Source organism: Homo sapiens, chromosome 3 (assembly GCF_000001405.40).
Source record: "Homo sapiens chromosome 3, GRCh38.p14 Primary Assembly".
Lineage (NCBI taxonomy): Eukaryota > Metazoa > Chordata > Mammalia > Primates > Hominidae > Homo > Homo sapiens.
The window spans coordinates 111,974,118-111,994,579 of record NC_000003.12 but is presented as its reverse complement, the minus strand read 5'-3'; the positions used below and the strand labels follow the sequence as shown (position 1 = coordinate 111,994,579).

The window sequence follows — 20,462 nt, the reverse complement described above, 5'->3', positions numbered from 1 at the left end:
TATATTGGCTGTTTGGAGAATGGTGTACTTTTTAGATTTGTATCTGGAAATGCCTCTAATCTCAACAGATGTAGCAAAAGCAAAATAGATTACGTGGCTTCACTTAGCCTTCTTTTCAAATGGTATTTGCCTTATCCCTTTCTGTTGTGCATACTGAGATTTAGAGGGGTCGTGTCACTTATTTTAAATAATGACTAAGTTCCAGGGGCTAAGGCACTGAAGGGCTCCCAGTTATTCCTCCATTTTACACGTCACTAAATACATGGGATGGAACGGTTTCAGAAAGGAGCTTTGGGGAAAACTAGAAAAAACAAATAATTAACAGCGCACTAAAATACACTAAATCTCATGGATGCAAACTCATTTGGAATTTGCGATGTTAACCTCTGCAAAGCTAGATTAAATTTTAAAAGATTTTCCTAACTTTAGGTAATAAAGGTTCCTTCTCCTTTTTTGTTTTAAACCATTAGCATTTGAAAGAATACCATACAACATTCCTATTTGGGATCTTGAGGTCAGGAAGGTCAAATCCAGTCCAGTTCAGTTCAGCTTTAGAAGACCTACCCACTTCCTTGCCTCCACCTTCCTTCCTATGCCTTCATTGATTGTGTCCATCAGTCTCTGAAGGGACTGTGTTCTGTACATAATGAAAAGCAAAAAGATACTGCCTCCTGTGTCATTGTTCTAAATGTATTGTGCTTATTTAGACCTTACACCGCATTATCTAGGTTTATGTTATTTTACAGAAGAGACTGAGACTCAGTGAGGTTAACTGCTCAGTCACAGAGCTAGTAAATGGTGAGCCAAAATTAAAAACCAAGCTTGTCTCTGACCTTAACCATTATGCTATACTGTCTCTACATATGTATTATAAATCTCAAATCATATTTATTATTTTGCGCAGAAAACCATCATTGGCAAGGGCCCTTGCCTTCATGTTCCTAACAAGCCTCACACCTAGCAATGTCTAGGCAAAGTAAGTCCTTGAATAGCCAGTGCCATCTTCTATCAACCCACTCCAGCACCAGAGACTGTGGCACTCATAGATGATTTATCTTTGCTGTTTGTAATTTTTGTCCAGTATAAAAGATAACCCATGGATTGTAGTTTAATTGCCCCGTAGGACATAAACCAGTTTTGTATCTGTGGAGAGGCCCTCACCACCACCCCCAAATTTGAAGATTTGCTAGGAAGACTCATAAGACTCCACATACAGTTCTGCTCACGGCCATGATTTATTACAGTGAAAGGATACAAAACAAAATCAGCAAAGGAAAAAAGACACATGGGGTGAAGTCAGGGGAAACTAAGTGCAAGCTTCCAAGAATCCTCCGCCAGTGGAATCACAGAGGATGAGCTTAATTCTCCCAGCAACCAGTTGTAACAGCACTTGTGAAACACTGTCAACCAGAAAAGCTTGTTAGAGACTGAGTGCCTGGGGTTTTTACTGGGAGCTGGTCACAAAGGTAGTCTCTGCCTGGCACATACCAAAATTCCAGACTCCCAGAAGGAAAGCAGGTGTTCAGGAGAAACTATATTGTTTTACAGTTTAGATATAGTAAGCTACTTTGATCAGTTCTGGGAATGGTGGAAGCCCCCTGAACTCCAAGTTCCCAGATGCCAATCAAGGGCCAACCTTGTAAAGCAGGTCTCTAAGGTTAAGTAGTCAGGTCGGCTTCATTAACACTTTTTTCTGCACAGCAATTTTATCTCAACATTTTTTCTTCAATGCCCATAAATACTCAGTTTCTTGAATTGTACTTTGAACCAGGTTTACTATCTGCTGGTTTCCTCATTAATGAGTCGAATAAGTCTTCGACACATGCTCATCTTATACACATGTATATATATGAGTCATGTTGTCAACTTAAAAGGTTTGACAGATAATAACCTAATCAAGCTAAATAAAGTCCAGCCAAAATTAATTAATAAAAAACATTAACTAAATAATATCAAGGCTCAATCTACACCTCACTTTAGTTATTTAGGAAAGAAAAAAAATAACCTTTATACTAGCATTTCACACTTTCTTACTGACTTTAGAACGTCTTCTGATTTAGGTGGCAATCACTTGCCTAGTTGTACTTAGGGCAATATTAATAAAATAATGAATGTTTCTGCAAGAAATAATATATAAAGATTAATTTCCTCTTTAATTTTACCAATCAGAATATTAAAAATACTACATCATTGTTTTAGATGAAATTCCCCATTTAAATATATTATACATAAGCCAAATTTTAGAAATAGCTCCTTGTATCACTGTACAATTTTGGGCCTTTAAAAAAAAAGCTCAATTTTAAGTTTGAATATAATGTGCAGTTTATATAACATATATATTATATTATATATACTTTATACATTATATAAAGTATTATCCTTATTGTGAACTTTATTATGCTTCTGAAATTTCTCCATCATTTCAAATTTACTTCAATAAAAATTTCCCTATATTTTGTGAATTGCATTTTCAAATCAGAAGTAATGTTACAAATTTCTGTCTATAATAAAAAACAAAATATTCACGCTTTATTAATAATCCTAATTAGAAAAGGATGCAATTAAGAGCTGGCATAGCTAACATAAGCATAAGAAAGGTAAACTTTTCTTGAATTAAAAAAAGGAAATACTTTAATGAAAAAAAATCAAGGACAGAAGGAAGGAGAAAATTTTCTAAACAGCAGCTGGTCCTTCTTCACAATTTGCATTACTTATGCAAATACATCATTAAATAATACTCATCTTATATTTACAAAATAGAGGAAAGGGAAAAACCTAAAGTATCAGGATCTTTCATTTCTTATCCCTCTTCCAATCTTCTGGATACATTAGTTTACATACCAACTAAACATGTGATACTAGTTAACTATAGTTGAGAGCTTATCAATTAAGTCATCAATAGTGTAAACAAGAAGTTGAATGTCTGCTTTTTCCCTCATTCGGTGATCACTGTGTTTTCGGAGGATGACATCCACATCTGTGCTGAGTACTCGATCGGCAACCTGCATTGATGTATGCCAAGGTACAATGTCATCCTTCATGCCATGGAGCAATCTTATGGGGCAGTTCACAGGAATTGGGCTATGTAACAAGCAGTGATGTTCAGCTTCTTTAATGAAACTGTACTGAACGTTATAAACTCCTTCTTCAGAGTATTTTGATGGCATGCTCCACACACCTTTCATCTCTACTTCCTTTTTTAGCTATTGGAAAAAGAAAGAAAAATAAAAGTATTTGTGACTTTAGGCAACATTAACACATGCAATAGTTTTAAGTAATCTAATGAAAGCAGTTCTTGAATAAGAGGATAGAGATAACAAAAGTATAACAATAATAATTATCAATAATTACTACATGCAAGGTACTGTGATGGGTATTTTATACATATTATTCCATAAGATTCTGATAATAATTCTGTTATTATTCTATTTTTATAAAAGAGGATATTATGGTTTAGATAAATGAAATACTGTGTGCAACAGTTCAGGGCTAGGCTACTAACTGTTATGGCTAAGACTCAAACTTAAATTTAAATTTATTTAATTTTATCATACACTATCTCAAATCAGATGTTGCTTCACCCCAACTGAAAAGAAAAATGAAGAGGGAGAAAAGCACTACAATTTCTTGGAATCAGTCCAGGTATCATTCATATTTAAATAAAATCAAATCTTAGAATAAACATTGTTTAGATTTCAAAATTGTAAACCTAAAAGTGCTTATAAGTAGCTAAAATGGATATGGCATAGGGAAAGAAGAGAAAGAATCAAACACAGAACTAAGAATAAAAAAATAAGAGTAATTACATTGTAACAATCATACACATACTCATGCAATTTTAGGCTGAATGTAAAGAAATATAGTTTTTCCTTCCAGAGTCCTATAAAAGAGAAAAAATTTGATTTTTGTTCTGGATGACAAAGAAGTCTTCCACATACTTCCTGAAAGCCAAACAATAATATCTGTATATTTATTCCCTTAAAATGAAATATACATGTCCTTTGACTTTTTGAGAACTCTTATTTTTTATATAATTTATCTTAATTTTTCTAAAAAAATTAGAATTTTGTATAATGAGTAACATGCAGTCATTATAGAAAACATAAAAATAATTAAAGAAATAAATCACCCATAATCCTATCTTATGGAGAGAAAAACCATTAATATATGGCTTATTTCCTTCCAATATTTGTCTATATGTGTTTTGGTTTTTGTGTAATATGTAAAATACATACATATTACACATTCATATACAGTTTTCTATGCTGTTTATTTAGTACATATATTTCTGGGTTTAAAAAATTCTATGAAAAGGTTTTAAATGCTGCACAGCAGTCCACCATAATTGACTTAATTAGTTTGACCATCTCATACTGTGGTATTGTCATGAACACTTTTGAGCATAAAAGTTTATTTATATATAATAGATTATTGGAAAGATGATCACAGCTTAAAACTAAAACAAAAATCAAGCTATGAATAGTTTCAAGACTGTTACAATCATATAATATTAAGGGCATTTCTAGAAAAATGGAATGGACATCTTATCAAAAATTTTAAAAAATAAGGAAAGAAAAGCTACACATATTTGAAAAATTTAAAGTTTCAACAAATATACTATGATTTTCCCATGTTTAAAATTGTTAATTTATTGCAAATGTAAAAAGGAAAACAAGAACTTAAAAAATATGTATGACATAATATAATCTATATGTACTTAGGCTTTAATGTATTTTTAATTCCAAAAAGACTTAATAATTCAGTAAAAAAAAAACTGTACTTCTAAATATGTCTCCAAATGATTTAAAATTAATGAAATTCTACAAAACTATAAAATGTATATAAATCTATATCAATATCATGGCATTCTCTGTATTAAAACAACATATGAACCAAATATTTAAAGTAAAGATGACATTTAGCTATCCTCAAGCTACTCAGGATTGTTTCTGAATTTGTAAATACTTCAGCAGATAGAACTTAGTCCCACTGGTTATTAGCTGAAGTGGAGGCTTTGCTAATTAAGGCGACACTGAATTAATAATAGTTTCATTTTAAGCATCCCTGGCCCCCAACTAGCTCTGCTACCTGCCACTGAATTGAATGAAAATGGTCCATCTGAAGAACAAAGTTAACTTTATAAAATGTTGTATGTCTCAAGTCCTCAAGAACAAAAAGTTCAGAAACAGCAAAGACATTACCCAAAGAAAATGTACAATATATTAAGTTCTACATCAACAAAACTTATCAAGGCAATGTGGTTCAGAAGCTTACATTCCCAACAGCTGTGCATCATGTCTGAGGCCCTCTAGTGTCCAAAGAAGGTGATAATGATTAGAGTCAGTTAAAGAGGATGGTCAAGTTCTTAGAGAAGAAATGAGAAATGCTGGGCTTACTATTCCCAGGGTTATAAAAGATAGTAAAAATCTCCACATCTGCTCCGTTGACATTGTTAGGGCTAGCTGTTTATGTGGAGAAGAGATAGCGGTCTTAGTGTTGGTGCTCTTTCCTTATACATGCTTTTAAGTTAACCAAGGGCTCAACATGCTTCTGTTAACAACTGCTTATCTGAGTAAGTATTAGCAAAAAATGCCTTGATTTGCAGATTATAAATCTTCTCAATTAGAAAGTATCTACCCTATGCTCACTCTGACTGATGTGAACACACACACACGCAGAGAAATGTACATGGCCAGGCACAGTGGCTTGTGTCTCTAATCTCAGCACTTTGGGGGTCCAAGGCAGGAGAATCTCTTGAGCCTAGGAGTTCAAGACCGGCCTGGGCAACATGGCGAGACCCCATCGCTACAAAAAATACAAAAATCAGCCAGGCATAGTGGTGTGCACTTGTGGTCCCAGCTACTCAGGAGGCTGAGGTGGGAGGATCTCTTGAGTCTGAGGGGTCAAGGCTGCAGTAAGCAATGACTGCACCACTGCACTCCAGCCTGGGCAACAGAGATACCCTAAAAACCCCCCCAAATAAAAACAAAACCAAAACAAATGTACACAGGTTTTGTCATTTACCAATAATTACAAAATACAATAAACCCCCAACCCCCAAAAATCAACTCCTTTTCAATCTGCTATGTCTTTGAGATAATTTCCTACCCAAGAAGCGCTGTATTATTGAGTTAAGAGGATGGAGCAAGGAGTCCACATTTAGATCCACAAAATGTCAAAGGTGGGAAAAACATGAAGACATTGAGCAACTATGTATGAGAAACCACCAAGAAAGTGAACAAAATTCAGAAACAGGAGATAAGTTCAAGGAAGACCAGCTTTGTAATTTCAGCTCTGATAGGAAATAATATGAGAAACCTGAATACACACACAATGCTATTTCTTAAGGAGCTTAAAACAACGTGAACTAAGAATGAACTTAGTTAATATATGGCACAGGTATTAATGCAGAACTTGAGGCAAATCAATGACATTCTACTATTCAACACTGCATACGTTTTTTCTTCTTTTTTTTTAAATTTCTGAACCTCCTTCTCCTCTTCCCCCATTCTCTAAAGCATTGTTCTCAAACTTTACAAGAGGTTTGTTAAAACACAGACTGCTGGGCCATACCCCCAGTTTCTGATTCAGGGTAAAACCCAAGAATTTGGGTTTCTAACAAGTTCTCAGGTGCTGCTGCTGCTGCTAGCCTAGGGACCATATTTTTTAACTACTGCTCTGTTTTCTTTAATTTCTGTGTCTCTGTCACTCTGACTGACAATATCTGTCTGGAGAGTTCTGTTGGGAGGAACTGAGGCTGCTTTTAGGCTAAAACAAAGACAGTCAGCTCTCCATATTCATGGTTTCTGCATCCATGGATTCAACTAACTTTGTATCAAAAATATCTGGAAAAAAAAGGTTACCTCTGTATTGAACGTGTACAGTCTTTTTTTCTTGTCCGTATTCCCTAAACGATACAGTATAGCAACAATTTACATAGCGCTTACATTGTACTAGGTATTTTAAGTAATCTGGCAATGATTTAGATTATACAAGATTATGTGCAAATACTACACCATTTTTTTTCTCAGAGACTTGACCATCTGTGGATTTTGGTATCCATGGGAGGTCTTGGAAGCAATCCCCTTCAGATACCAAGGGATGACTGCAGTTTCAGTTCATTAGCCCACTCTAACATAGTCATAAGAACAGGCACTACTCCCCATATGCCACAAAGTAAGAGGACCAAAAGGAGATCACGATGTATGATTCAAATAAGTAAATGTAATAATAAAGAAAATGTGGCTAAAAAAAAAGAAACTTCAAAGTGTGATATTGTTAATGTGTCTCAAATATTTGGCAGAATGATTTGAAGAGACTATGAAGAAACGAAATCTTAAACAAGATGACAAATAGTTAAAGATAGAAAAGAGGTTGTGTACAGAAAGGCAGCTAAGACAAAAGTTGGGCCAGCACAGTAAGTCAAAGGAATTATTGTTTTCTGTCCCCCCTTCCCTCAAAGAAAGAGGGAGCAGAAGAAGTATAAGCGGTAAATATATTGAGGTGGCAAAAGTGACTTTTGACTTACCTCAACAGGAAGCTGATTAAACTTTGTCACTAAGGTATCTGCAGCTGTAGCTACACCAATAAGAGCCACGACCTTCTCTGGTCGTGCAATTGCAGCATGAAGCATAAGCCACCCTCCAAGGCTAGATCCAACAAGAATCTAAAAATAAAATAAAATAAAACATTAGGTCTTTAAGATAGAACAGGTTATAAACATAAAACAAAATATGTACAATAAAAAATTAGAAAGTAAAAATAGAATCATTTTAAATCAAATATCAAAATGGATTAAACATTTAAATTAAATAAAAACATTTTCATATCTAAAGAAACAGCTTAGGCCGGGTGTGGTGGCTCACGCCTGTAATCCCAGCACTTTGGGAGGCCCAGGCGGGCGGATCACGAGGTCAGGAGATCGAGACCATCCTGGCCAACACGGTGAAACCCCATCTCTACTAAAAATACGAACAATTAGCCGGGCGTGGTGGCGGGTGCCTGTAGTCCCAGCTACCTGGGAGGCTGAGGCAGGAGGATGCCGTGAACCCGGGAGGCAGAGCTTGCAGTGAGCCAAGATTGCGCCACTGCACTCCAGGCTGGGTGACAGCACGAGACTCCATCTCAAAAAACAAAACAAAACAAAACAAACAGCTTAAATACGAGGTTACAGTAATTATCATCATACTTAACAAAACAGTCACCTGTGGCCCATCAGCTAAGTCATCAATTATAGAAAGAACATCTTTTCTCCATTTCCCCAGTGTGCTTTCCTCTGAGTTACCATCTGAACTTCCAACTCCTGAGTAATCAAACCTGGAAAAAGGGGAAAAAAATCTATATCTAAATATCTATATATCTGCTTCTTTAATTTTTAAGAAAGATAGCACCTTCCTCATTACTATAATGCTTATAGTGAAACATCACAATCAATATGTATTTTAGCAAATTCTATTGGCTTATTAACTTTCAAATACCTCCTGTGTCCAATCACTTTCTCACCTCCTCCACTGCTACCAGCCTGTTGCTAGTCACACTGTCTCTCAACCTAACTGAATGCAATAGTCTCCTAAAAAGTCTCCTGTTTGCATTTTCACACTCATTGTCTTTCCCTATATAGTAGAGTGATCCTTTTAAAACAAAACCATGTCTTGCAAACCCTCCAAAGGCTTTCTATAATCTTTAAATCCAGAGCCCTTACCATACTTTGGTGCCTGATCACCTCTCTGATCTCATTTCTCATTGTTTTCTCTCTCTCCCTCCCTCCCTCCCAACTGTATCTTCGCTTTGCTTCTTGAAGCTCCCATCTCATCAGCTTTTCTCTCCACATGGCATACTCTCCTCCAGATAGCCATTTAGATTGCTCCCACACTTCATTCAGGCCTTTGGCTCAAATATTACATCCTCAGAAAAGCCTCCCATGACCATTCAATTATTAAAACTGTGCTGCTTTCATCATTCTCTAATTCTTTACTCTGCTTCATTTTCTTCATAGCACTTATTACTACTTGAGATATATTTGATTATTTATGGTCCATCTCCCACATTAGAATGAAAGTTCCACATGGGCACAAGCTTTGTTTCAATGCGTTCCTAGTGCCTAGTTCAGTTCCTTGCGAGTGGTAGGTGCTTAGTGTATATTTAGTGAATTGATGGAAGGGAAGGAGACCAGAATAAAATTCATCATCACCAACCCATCCCTTTCTCCTTCCAACTTCCTAGTTATCTAGGCTCAGTTATCTGTCTGATCTATGAATTTTACCTCTCCTTAAGGGTATCAAATCAATAAAAAATCATGGTGGTATAAAGTATCATACCACACCCACAGGTTACCTAAACTCTAGTCATACTGAACTACTCCTAATTCCCAGTTACACCCTTTTATAACTTAGAGCCTTAGCATGCTGTTCTGCTGCCAAGAACAGCTTCCTCCCCAACCCAAATTCGTAGTCACCCTTTAAGTCATGTCACCTCCTCTGAGGAACTTCACTTGACATATATGCCCCATTTAGTACCAGTCACTTTCTTTTGTATGTACTCAACACTTTTCATATTGTATTGTAATCAAGTTTGTTTTTAAACATTCATCTCCCTCTGACTAGAATGTCAGTTCCTTAAGAGGAGGCTGTTTTATTCGTTTGTTTTTCCAGGCCACAGAATACTGCCTGCCCTATACCATCACCATTCTTTCTCATTTCTTCTTATGTTCATCCCTTTCTTGGTACTTTGGTAAGTCCAGTATCTTGGTGTAGGTGTTTATTTGTCATCTTAGACCTAGACTATCACAGTAGCCTTCTATCTTGTGTCTCTATGACTCTGTCTTTAAATAGAGTCACTATATACATGTCAGTTTTTTTCTTTAACATTTTAGCATTACCTTCAGTGCTCCCTGTGATATACAACATAAACACTTAGTGCTTTGGCCTGTTTTTTTGAACCATTATATTCTGGTCATTTCAGATTGATTTCACAATAAATTTTACAGTAAATTTTTTTTTACTACTAAATTTTACAGTAGTACTCACTTCATCAGGGAATACTACTGCTTTAGACAAATTGATGAACTTACTGTTCCTAAAATAGGTCTATGTTTTCTTATGTGTTTCACATCTCACACTGTTGATTCCTTTACCTGGAATACCTTCTTCCATCATCTTCTTTACTGATATATTTTCCCTTCTTTACTGATATCCTTTCCCAGAGCCTAGTTCAAATGAACCTTTTTGGTGGAATGGCTGGTACAGTAAGTAAGGGATTTATGAGAAATAGGGGAGAGAAGAAATTAAATTTTTCTTTAGGTTTGAAGTGAAACGATTTTGGATCCTTGGGAAATAGAACAGGGCAACTGGTGCAGTCTAAATCAGTTACTGTTTCCCCCTCAATCCAGGGTATGTAAGAGATGGGTAGAAGGGGTGGAAGAAAAAAGGGGGAAAGACACCAACTAATTTTCTCCTTTTCTCTCTTCATAGGTGGCAATTGGATATGGCTGAATGTGGCATCTTTTACAGTTAGCTGCCTTCCAAATATATGGTGAGGATGCAAAATACTTGTACAGCTCCTTCATGAAGGAAAATATAAATACTTGGTGATACTAACAGGGTACCATTAAAAAAATATAGTTAACTCTCACTGAACCCCAATCCAGAGACAAAGATAATCCAAACATATTCAGCACTTTAAAACTTTTAAACAGTAGCACATCTCCATCTTAGCAGCCTCAATAGTCTGGGATGTAGTCCCAAATAAAAATTCTATTACAAATAATTATGAGAGAATACCAGCCTTAAAACCATATGTTATATTCCTGAGATCTGAATCAGTCTTATTTTAGGCATGGTGATAGGACCTTAATAAAACATTTTCATATAGTCATATGTTTTATTTCTTGTGTAATAAACTATTTCATCATTGAAGATCTAAATTTTACAGCAAAAAATCCCAACAAAAGCAACCTGAAAAATTAGAGAATAGAAGATAAAATCTCTTATAATAAAGTGCAATCAATAGTTAACAATAATTAGACTGTGATGAACTTTGATAAGAGCAAATAAAATGGAACTTGTTCAAACTAAATATTTGTAGTTAAGCACTATTCTTTATGAAGGTATACTCACACAGGATCCAAAAATGCAGAAAAGCCACATTATGTCTTATAGGGAGACAGGAACTGGTTATAACTCTCATAGTCTCAAAGCTGAAATTTTAGAACTGGTAAAATGGTGATTTCTCGATTCAAATTTATTCAGTGGCAAAAAAGAAAAGTGATAACAATATTTTTGATATTATGATCTTCTGCTCAGGACAGTCCCCCTCCTTGGACAGCACTTCCCTCCCACCCAAATCTGAATTATTCTTCAACGTTCCTTTATCTATTTCAATCCCACTGTCTCTAACTTTATGCAATTAAGTATACTGTTCTTTTGACACAATCACATTCTGATGAGTATTTCTGCCAAATTTCTAACATGTATTTTATCTTGTGTTTCCCCACCCTGAATGAAAGGTCCTCATAGGCAAGTACAATGTTTTATAATTCTTTGTTATTATGCAGCACTCAGTATAGTGCTAGAGAATCTATTTCCAAAAAGTACTCCAATCTTCAGAATAAGTCAGAACAGATTTTAACATAGTTCTGAGTATGAAAATAAAATAATTCATTAGTTTGGTAAAAGAAATAAGATTAAATCTTATTTAATTTTATAATTGACATAATTGCTGCTAATATATTGAACAGGTAGTCTGAAAGTTTTATATACAGCTGTATTTTCTAGAATTATTGAATGAATGTTTGTGAGTCACTCTTCTAAAAATTTAGATGGATAGATTTTTAGGCTGTTAGTGCTAGAAAATAACTCAGAAGTTATCTCTAGTCCAACCTCCTTCTTTTGATGACAAACTTAGGTCCAATGTTTATTAACTTACTTGTCTTGTCATAGTTATTGCTCGAATTTATTCTAGAACTCATGTTTCTTGAATTCCAGGCTAATCTTCTTTTTACGAAATCATACCATCTCTTCTGGACAGTGGATACTAAACATATAACTGCTACAGGTAGACCTTATAATAACATAAAGTTATTTACTAAAATAACTCTCAGTGTGAAAAATTAGGAATTATAAAATCAAGCTTGAGTTAAGTACCACTTATCCCTATTTATGCTTATACATATTCAGATTACAGGAGAGGGAAGAGAAAACTCAGCAGAAATTTGCATTATGATACTTTTAAATACATGTATTACTTTTAGATAAACAGTGATCAAATAAAGTCCTTAAGTCCCCAGTGGAAAATGATAATATAAGAGACTGTATGAAAGCCAACTAGTATATCTGTTTGTTGTCACATACATTATTGCCTCTAAAGAGCTTAGTTACCAATATTTCCCTTAAGATGTCCTTTTCTGCCAGGGTTGTCAGCGTGGCACAAAGGCCTTTAAAAAAGGTCTTTTAAAGGTTGCTTTTAAAATTACCCTAAATCACAAGATGCAAGTTTACAGACCATTAAAATAATGTATAAAAATGCTGGCATTTACTTCAACTGATTAGAACAGAAGTAATTCTCCACTGTAATGCTAACAGTAGCAATATTTTCTCAGTAATGTGTTGTTCCTACCTTATGCAGGCGTGACCTAGAGATTTGCAAAACTCCTCAATCGCCAACGCTTTTGTACCATTCATATAAGAAAGATAGCCAGGGATGAAGATAATTCCTGGACTTTTGCCTTTTAGCTTCTTATAAGCCAGGTTTGGAAGGTCTGGTCGATTAAGGAATGAGAGTGACGTCTTTTGTCTACAAGCTAAACAAAGTACACAAAAAGTAAACTATGGTTTGTAAACTCAGTCTTTGGAAAACCATATATATTTTCGATCTTAACTTTCTTATCTCAATGAATTGATGTTAAATACTATTTCCATTTAATAGAAAAAACAAGAACAGACTCAAAGTACTAAGTAAGTCTGTGCATGAGATCTCCAGTTTTAAAATCATGCCAACATCAGTAACTTCTTTGAGCAAAGTCCAATCTTGATTCTTCCAAAATACACAATGCGGTAGGAATTTCAAGACAACAAAAGACAGAGACTAATCGAAAAACATTTTCTTGTTACTGCTTTATCATGTATTCTAAACAGTATCAATCAACATTCAGATTTACCCGCAATAGTTTCAGCCCTCTCTTGTGAGATTTTTGGCTTTGTTTTTAAATTTATTTTTTGTTTGACAAGTTTCACATCCCTTATTTTCTTTCTTTTTTTTTTTTTTTTTTTTTTGAGACAGGGTCTCACCTTGTCACTCAGGCTAGAGTGCAGTGGTGCAATCCTAGCTTACGGCAGCCTGGACTTCCTCGACTCCTCAGGCTCAAGCCATCGTCCCACCTCAGCCTCCCCAGTAGCTGCACTACACGCATGTACCACCACACCTGGTTAATTTTTGTATTTTTTGTGGAGACAGGGTCTCACTATGTTGCCCAGACTGGTCTCAAACTCCCAGGCTCAAGTGACCCTCCCACCTTGGCCTCCCATTGCTGAAATTACAGGTGTGAGCCACCATGCCTGGCCTTTCATCCCCTACTTTCTTGGGGGTCAGGGAAGAAACAGGTTTGGTCTGCCCTTGCAAAATTGTTTCAAAGGAGGACGTGCTGTGCCCTTTTTATTACTGACTCCCATCCACCCGCCCACCCATCCGCCTACCTCAACCAAGAAATCATGAGCCATGGTAACAACTCATAATTTTATTGTCAGCTGAGGTGGGTTCAATGAGCAGTTTCTTTAAAAACAACATATGATAGTATCGTTTTTGGAAAGAGATTTCTTATAGACCTATGCAATCACTTTGCGTTTTGTTGGTTTGGCTTTCTGTAAATGGTACACAGAGATTTTAGTGTAATTTAAGTACAACAGTACAATTGGTGAACTTCATAAGATTATCCTACTTCATCTTTTTCAAATTTTCCCCCATTATAAAATCTATACTTGCTCTTAAGAAACAAGTAGATATTTTTTTAAAAGAGTCATTTATAATCCCACCTCTTCTTTCCAAAGACACTAGTTTTGTGTACTTCCTTAGAGTCTTTGGACTAATACATTTTCTTTTTTTATATTAAATGAAGCCGTCCTCCACTTTGAAAACTTCTCAGTCTTGAGAAGAGAATCCATGTGTGCTGCTAAAGTTTTCCCCATTTTGTAATTAAGAAGTTGATTTTTTAAAGATGTAACTGAAGGCCTTAAAGTTATCCTTTTTACATAAAAGCTTGTTTCAAAGTATAGAGAAATATGCCAAATTTAAAACTTTTGGTAAGGACCAGTTATGCTGATCCACTCATGTTCATTTCCCATCTACTCAGCTGAGCACTAAAAAAAATTCTCACTATCCTCTTCCAGAAATCACCTCTTAAAACATAATTTCCCCGAGATGATTATAATTTATTTAATGTAAGTTCTAAGTAGACAGATTCATATAATTATATTCATAAATCATCTTTGAACATAAGGATTAATTCAAAGCCTGGTGCATAAGTGCTCAATGAATAAGTGCTAACTAGATGAAATAATATTATACTCTGGTTAATGAATTGACATACTACATTTTACTAGGAGTATTTGCATGTGTAACATGCCTTTTGGTTGCGCACAATTAAATGCAAGTTAATCTGATTATAAAAGTTTAAAAACTGGATACAAAAATCTCCATACAAAAGATCTCTGCCGTGACATTAATTACCACTCCAAGCACCATGCATCATCTGACAGCTACGTGGCAATGGTGTGAACCACACACAAAGCCAAAAAAATAAAAGGATCTAATTCAAAGACTATATATACATATAAGAGGTTCTCTGATTTTTAGCCCAAATTCTAGTTTCCTTTGTGCAATAATGATTATGGTTCTTTCACTGAGTGGGTGCAGCAAGAAAGCAGAACTAGAAATTAGGCTTATGAGGGCGTCTACACTTTTACAAAGAACATGCCTCGCATTGTTAGGTTCCCTAAACTCAAAGGAGAGTCAGTCTAAGCATTTTAGGAGTCACAATCTACAAATTCCTAGAAGTAACTAATAATAATGCATTAAATGCACATTTTAATTTTTTCTAGTGTTGGCCTTTAATGCAGGGGAGGCAGGTAAGGAGCAGGAGCTCTTTAAACTGCACAGTGTAAAACGCCAGCGAGGGCCCGGGGTGCCCAGAATGCCGCAGGGCCGCGGCAGAGCTCTCCTCACAGCCTTCACCAGAAGTCTACAAAGCGCCTAGAACTGGGGTGTTGAGAAAGGGGGAGGAGCATTTTTGAACCGGGCGCCAAAGACGCACTGCACAGGCACGGTAACTGACGGAACCCGAGGCGTTCGAAAGAACGCATCCTACTCCCGCCTTTCGGACACTGACCTGGGAGCCACCGTGGCGCCCGCTGAGGTATCCGTGCAAGCAGCACGCTGAGGCCACGGTGGGGACCGAAGGGGACGGCTGCCCAGCCCCAGCTCCGACAAGGTACCCAGGCCGCCACAGCTGCCAAGCGCGCAACCGCCATCTTCGTAGTTGTCCCCGCACCCTGCAGTGTCCCACTGAGGGACACGCTACGCAACGGAACCGAGGCTGCGCATGCGCTTCAGGCTGGAAGGCGGAACTTGCTAAAGAGCTCCCCGCAAGATTTTCAGCTTGCGAAGAGCGCACATGCGCAGAGCGTCGTGGCTCTTTCGTTTAGACTGTTGGTTCTACTAGTAGCGGGGTTTGGCTTGGGGCCTTTAAGATGTTTTGAGTGGCGTCGGGAGGCTGCCCTATCAGCGGGCTGATAGATACTACAGAGCTGGAAGCTCAGAAAGGAACCCTATCCAACGGTCCTAGATGGGAAACGTCTCCTGTCGAGGACACCAGGCTTGCTGCATCACCTGCAATCCCGCCGACCGCGTGACAGTTTTAACCTGTACTGGAAATGCTCCCAAGATCTGACATTAATCTCGCCTGTATAACCTGGAATGGTATCGGACATTCCCCGCTCTAGATCTATATGCCTGATTAACGAAATACTGAATTATCTTGGCCCCCTCCTCGTGCTATATGCGAAAATAAATTTCAGTAAAAAAAGATTTCAACGGAAGAATACAACTGAGAGGATTAAATAAATTTTAGGAGAATATTATATAATCCGGGGACAGAAGGGACTTTCTTAACCAAGATTTCAAAACCCCAACATCATAAATAAAAAATATATTTGTATACGAATTTAAACTTTTTGAATGGCAAAAGACACCTCAAGTTAAGAGCTTAGAAAAATGGATTTTGTAGCATAGATACATTAATACTTCTACTCAGCCTGCTCCTATAAATAAGAAATATAATTCAAATAAAATTGGCCAACAGCTATAAATAGGCAGCCCATATAAGGAAACATGATGCTCAAACTCACTAAATGAAAAACTGGAATTAAAAAAATAATGCCTTTTTCCCCCCATTCAGTTGGCAAAAAAGAAAAATAATTGGCAAGGATGCTAGACACTAGCACTTATGTATGATTGCTAGGAAGGTGAATTACTAAAATTTGTTGTGAAGTAATATGGCCACATCTATTACAATTTTAAAATATGCATCCATTCCAGTGCCTTTTAACGCAGTGGCACCAATTTGTGATTATCCTATAGAAAAACAACACTAGTTCTTAAGACTGCATATTATCTACTACACCGTTTTTAGAGGCAAAGAGAAGGAAAAAAATGGGAATGGCTAACAATAGAAAAATAGTTGAATAAATTGTAGTACAAGGGTTTCCGGACTCCAGCTCTAAATACCTTTCAAACTAATTCCTGGGGGCCTCAAGCATCAACCATGGAGTTTTACGTAGTAGTTTCCTATTTAAAAGTTATGGTGGCTTGTGTAATACTTTGAGTATATATAAGATAGTAAAGTAACTTTTATTATCCTGGTTATAAATTTGGGGGGCAGTAATTGGTACCAGAATTAAAGGCAAAGTTTGGATATAGTGAATCCAGCATGTCTTTGGAGTCGTGAGAACCTGGACTGTTGGAACAGTCTGGAACAGTTAGATAAATAAAGACTGAATAGATCTCTTTCTTGAGAGGTGGGATGCCTCTCTCTACTAAGGACATATAGTTAAGGACAGCAACTTGATTTCAGGACATACTCCAAAAGATGCTGAGCTATGTTGCCCGTTCTCCATTAGACCTGTTGTAGACTCTAAGGGACTAAATCACTAAGGTGATGCCTGATGCATGTCATTTCATCATCCCTTATATTTCTTTTTTGGGTTTTTGTGTGTGTGTGTGTGTATGTTTTAGACTGAGTCTCGCTCTTGTCACCCAGCCTGGAGTGCAATGGGGCGATCTCAGCTCACTGCAACCTCCACCTCCTGGGTTCAAGCGATTCTCCTGCTTCAGCCTCCTGAATAGCTGGGATTACAGGCACCGACCACCATGCCTGGTTAATTTTTGTATTTTTAGTAGAGATGGGGTTTCACCATGTTGGCCAGGCTGGTCTCGAACTCCTGACTGCAGGTGATCCACCCCCCTTGGCTTCCCAAAGTGCTGGAATTACAGGTGTGAGCCACCGCACCTGGCCCATCCCTTATATCTTAACAAACACTTCTCTCTGCATGTTTTGGATAATTGCAAATATTCTCAATCACTTCTCTCCCTTTTCTTCCCCTTTATTTTTGCAAGTCTTCTTGCATTTTACTTGCAGTAAGATGAAAAATCTGACTGGTCATAGTGGGAAAATCACTGCACAGAAAAGCAGAGAAACCCATGGATTGTTTTCTGTATTCACTCTTGTTGTCTAACAAATTAGAAAAAATTATGGCCAGTAGCAAGTACAGATGCTTTTACGGACAGTGATGAGCTTGAAGTAGACAAATTTGTTTCCACTCTGGGTACCTATTGTCAATGTTGACTTCATCAATATATAAAGGGGGCAAAGGGACATACTGCTGAGGGAAGCTTCTCTCTCTGAAATCTGCTGCCTTAGTTCAGGGGGACAAATGAGATGCCCCACCAAATAAAGCTTTATATCACATTTACATGATTTTTTTTTCGTGTAAGATAAGGATAAGTAAACACACTCCTTGCAATCCCCAGCAATAAATGTATCTGTGTAAACAGACAACAATATGATGTCAGAGTTTTTCAGGGTTCATTTCATTTTGTAAGCAATAGGATGTAACCAGAGATACTTCTATTGGAATACTTCAGTTTATACACTACAAATCATAATGTTAGCACACAACAAACTTTACATAGTTTCTACAACTGTCATTTGCGATTAATTCATCCTCCATCATACTACAGATAGGTAACTTCAAAATAAGAGATGAGTTTATTTTCAAATGTGAAATCATGTCAACATTTTAATCCAAACTCAATATATTTAACACACATATTTAAGAGGCTTACTACATCATGCAATTGGATTAGAACACCTTTACAATCCTATGAAGAGAGTACAGTGCAGAAAAGTCATATCTTTACATTAACCAACAAAATCTTAGCAATTATATTTTAGTCTTACATCACTACAGGGTTTAAAAGTGATCGCTGCAAAATCAGATTTTAAAAATATCTTCCACAATCATGATTTTTGTCCTTCACTGTTCAAGTAAAATCTTGTGTCATCCAGTTGCAAAATCTTATTATTGATAACACGTATACGTGTATACAAACCACACTGCAAATTAACAAAAGAATTGTACCCAGTCAGGCTGACAAAGTTTAATAAAGGGACACTTCTAATCTAATCATTTCATCTTGTAAGTAATATTGTTATTCTCTACATCTATTCATTTGCCATGTTTTAGGAAAGAGCACATTCATACTTTCAAACATGCAAAACATGATAAACTAGAATAAATGGCACTTGAAAAACCATTATAAAAGAGACTTGCCTGAAGTCGTTTCATTTGACAAAAATTAACTAAAAAAAAGGCTAATTGTAAAAAATAAAATAAAATAATACATTATAGAGAATATTAAGTTGAACTTCATTTGCCGTTTTATAGAACTACACCACTTCTGCAAATAAGTATGTTAATTGGTCTGTTCTTTGGTGAAAACAGAGCTATGATTTCATAGTTATGTTGAGGGAGCAGTTAGCAGGTGTGCTCCACAACAAAAAGAAATCAGACAATCTAAAGGACATTGGCTACTGGTTGCCTTTATTCTCAGCACCAGGAATGGAGAAATCTTCAGCAAAACAAGCTCCTAACACCAGATATTCTCTTTATTTAAAATTGTTCAACATGACAGAATGCCTGTTGCGTAACCTGGCTTTTTTTTCTAAAACACACAGCTTTTTGCTCTTTCTTCTTTTACAAAAAGTGGTTTACTACATATATATATACATATATAGTAGCTTACACCAGTGGTGACACTGCAAAGTCAATTTCCTGGGCATTTGATGGCATCAAAATACCATTTTGAAATATACAGAACAATACGAAATGCAGTTCATCACTTGCAGTTACTACTGTTCCACAGAAGTCAGGTCAGCTCTTTGGTTTTGGTGCAGTACTTAAAAAATTAAGGCAAAACTCCTCCTAAAATGTATTTCCCTCCAAGCCCTTATTTGCTTATGTTTACAAAATAACTGTCAACAAAATGCTACCTTTTTTAAAAAAAGCCAGTTGATTACCAATAATGTCAATGCCAGTGATTTGGGTGATAAAGTTATTCTGTATTTCCAAGTACATACAGATATTCTGTAACCTGTTTAGTTTATTTCACCAAATCCGACAACTGATTAAAAACAGTTTATTAGAAATGTTCCTATAAGTGATCCAATTTATCAAAATAGTGTTTTCTTTCTCATGGAAGCTTCAATTATTTTGCTATTTATTATGAAGGTTTGTATTAAAACCCCTTCTTTATTTTTTACAAATAACTTGTCTTGATATGAAAGGAGTTCTGAGTGTTTACAGCTCAAGGGATGGATCTGTTGGGTTTTCTCATCTGGGGTTGAATATGGCTTCATTCTTGTAAGAGATTATTGCCGTCTGCCCTGAAGTGGACTGTTGCCTCAGTTCACTACAACAAGAAGTGAGTGTAACCTTCTGCCCCCGTAACTATAACATCCATCCAGATCCGCATGGCTTCTGGCGATGGGGCTACCATATAATAGATTCTGTCATGAGTCTTGACGCTAAAGGTGAGTAACGGATTAGGACTCTAAAATTCAAAAAAGGAAAAAGAATGTAAAATAAACATCTTAAAATACAACATTAAATAACACAGACATGTGATGACTTCTTCAAAATTTTCAATTTATTAAATTTACAAAGGCGTTACTTTTGCTCTACTATAACTCACACACCTGTCCCAGAGCCTTTTTCAGGATTGACCATTTTTCTGAACAGGAAATCTCAGACAGAACTCATAAATTATTTCAGCAGCTAGTTTGTAAAGCTCTAGCAGGGTACCTAGCTGAGAGTAGGAGTTTAATAAATAGTAGCTGTTATTCTTAGCCCTACTAG

General features: G+C 36.3%; 2 protein-coding genes across 8 annotated transcripts in view, besides 6 other annotated features; both read right to left on the bottom strand.

Moving 5' to 3' along the window:
* Positions 1-1,211: 1,211 nt before the first annotated feature.
* On the bottom strand, positions 1,212-15,554 carry ABHD10 (abhydrolase domain containing 10, depalmitoylase). Of its 4 annotated transcripts, NM_001272069.2 has the most exons (6): positions 15,377-15,554; positions 12,613-12,796; positions 8,205-8,316; positions 7,529-7,666; positions 3,829-3,880; positions 1,212-3,203 (listed from the first exon to the last, which is right to left on the bottom strand). In NM_001272069.2, exons 1-5 carry the CDS (start codon positions 15,516-15,518, stop codon positions 3,839-3,841), a joined length of 618 nt encoding a protein of 205 aa, NP_001258998.1. In that variant the 5' UTR covers positions 15,519-15,554; the 3' UTR covers positions 1,212-3,203; positions 3,829-3,838. The 4 variants fall into 4 exon arrangements, 2 of the variants coding, with proteins under 2 accessions (NP_001258998.1, NP_060864.1); NM_018394.4 differs by lacking the exon at positions 3,829-3,880; NR_073570.2 differs by lacking the exons at positions 3,829-3,880; positions 12,613-12,796.
* Positions 7,573-8,072: an enhancer, noted in NCBI's record as "H3K4me1 hESC enhancer chr3:111705355-111705854 (GRCh37/hg19 assembly coordinates)". NCBI's record gives its function as "activates a minimal SCP1, AML or CMV promoter by ChIP-STARR-seq in naive H9 embryonic stem cells {active_cell/tissue: H9 hESC(naive)}" and the evidence as "EXISTENCE:reporter gene assay evidence [ECO:0000049][PMID:30033119]".
* Positions 8,073-8,574: an enhancer, noted in NCBI's record as "H3K4me1 hESC enhancer chr3:111704853-111705354 (GRCh37/hg19 assembly coordinates)". NCBI's record gives its function as "activates a minimal SCP1, AML or CMV promoter by ChIP-STARR-seq in naive H9 embryonic stem cells {active_cell/tissue: H9 hESC(naive)}" and the evidence as "EXISTENCE:reporter gene assay evidence [ECO:0000049][PMID:30033119]".
* Positions 15,315-15,364: an enhancer, noted in NCBI's record as "active region_20229". NCBI's record gives its function as "activates an Ori minimal core promoter by ATAC-STARR-seq in GM12878 lymphoblastoid cells {active_cell/tissue: GM12878}" and the evidence as "EXISTENCE:reporter gene assay evidence [ECO:0000049][PMID:35858748]".
* Positions 15,353-15,912: an enhancer, noted in NCBI's record as "H3K27ac hESC enhancer chr3:111697515-111698074 (GRCh37/hg19 assembly coordinates)". NCBI's record gives its function as "activates a minimal SCP1, AML or CMV promoter by ChIP-STARR-seq in naive and primed H9 embryonic stem cells {active_cell/tissue: H9 hESC(naive and primed)}" and the evidence as "EXISTENCE:reporter gene assay evidence [ECO:0000049][PMID:30033119]".
* Positions 15,385-15,434: an enhancer, noted in NCBI's record as "active region_20228". NCBI's record gives its function as "activates an Ori minimal core promoter by ATAC-STARR-seq in GM12878 lymphoblastoid cells {active_cell/tissue: GM12878}" and the evidence as "EXISTENCE:reporter gene assay evidence [ECO:0000049][PMID:35858748]".
* Positions 15,445-15,494: an enhancer, noted in NCBI's record as "active region_20227". NCBI's record gives its function as "activates an Ori minimal core promoter by ATAC-STARR-seq in GM12878 lymphoblastoid cells {active_cell/tissue: GM12878}" and the evidence as "EXISTENCE:reporter gene assay evidence [ECO:0000049][PMID:35858748]".
* Positions 18,063-20,462, bottom strand: part of PHLDB2 (pleckstrin homology like domain family B member 2) — a 244,022-nt gene continuing 241,622 nt past the window's right edge. For all 4 annotated transcript variants that reach the window (NM_001134437.2, NM_145753.2, NM_001134438.2 and 1 more), the window contains one exon: positions 18,063-20,157. In NM_001134437.2, coding sequence (NP_001127909.1) covers positions 20,017-20,157 — 141 coding nt within the window. In that variant the 3' untranslated portion in view covers positions 18,063-20,016. The remainder of the gene's footprint in view (positions 20,158-20,462) is intronic.

Coding starts and splice junctions, on each gene's coding strand:
- ABHD10 (NM_018394.4), bottom strand. CDS start 15,518: ATGGCGGTTGCGCGCTTGGCAGCTGTGGCGGCCTGGGTACCTTGTCGG. Junction 8,317..12,612: donor CTAGGTCACGCCTGCATAAG/GTAGGAACAACA, acceptor CCCTTTTTCCAG/GTTTGATTACTCAGGAGTTG. Junction 7,667..8,204: donor ACTTAGCTGATGGGCCACAG/GTGACTGTTTTG, acceptor TTTTATTTTTAG/ATTCTTGTTGGATCTAGCCT.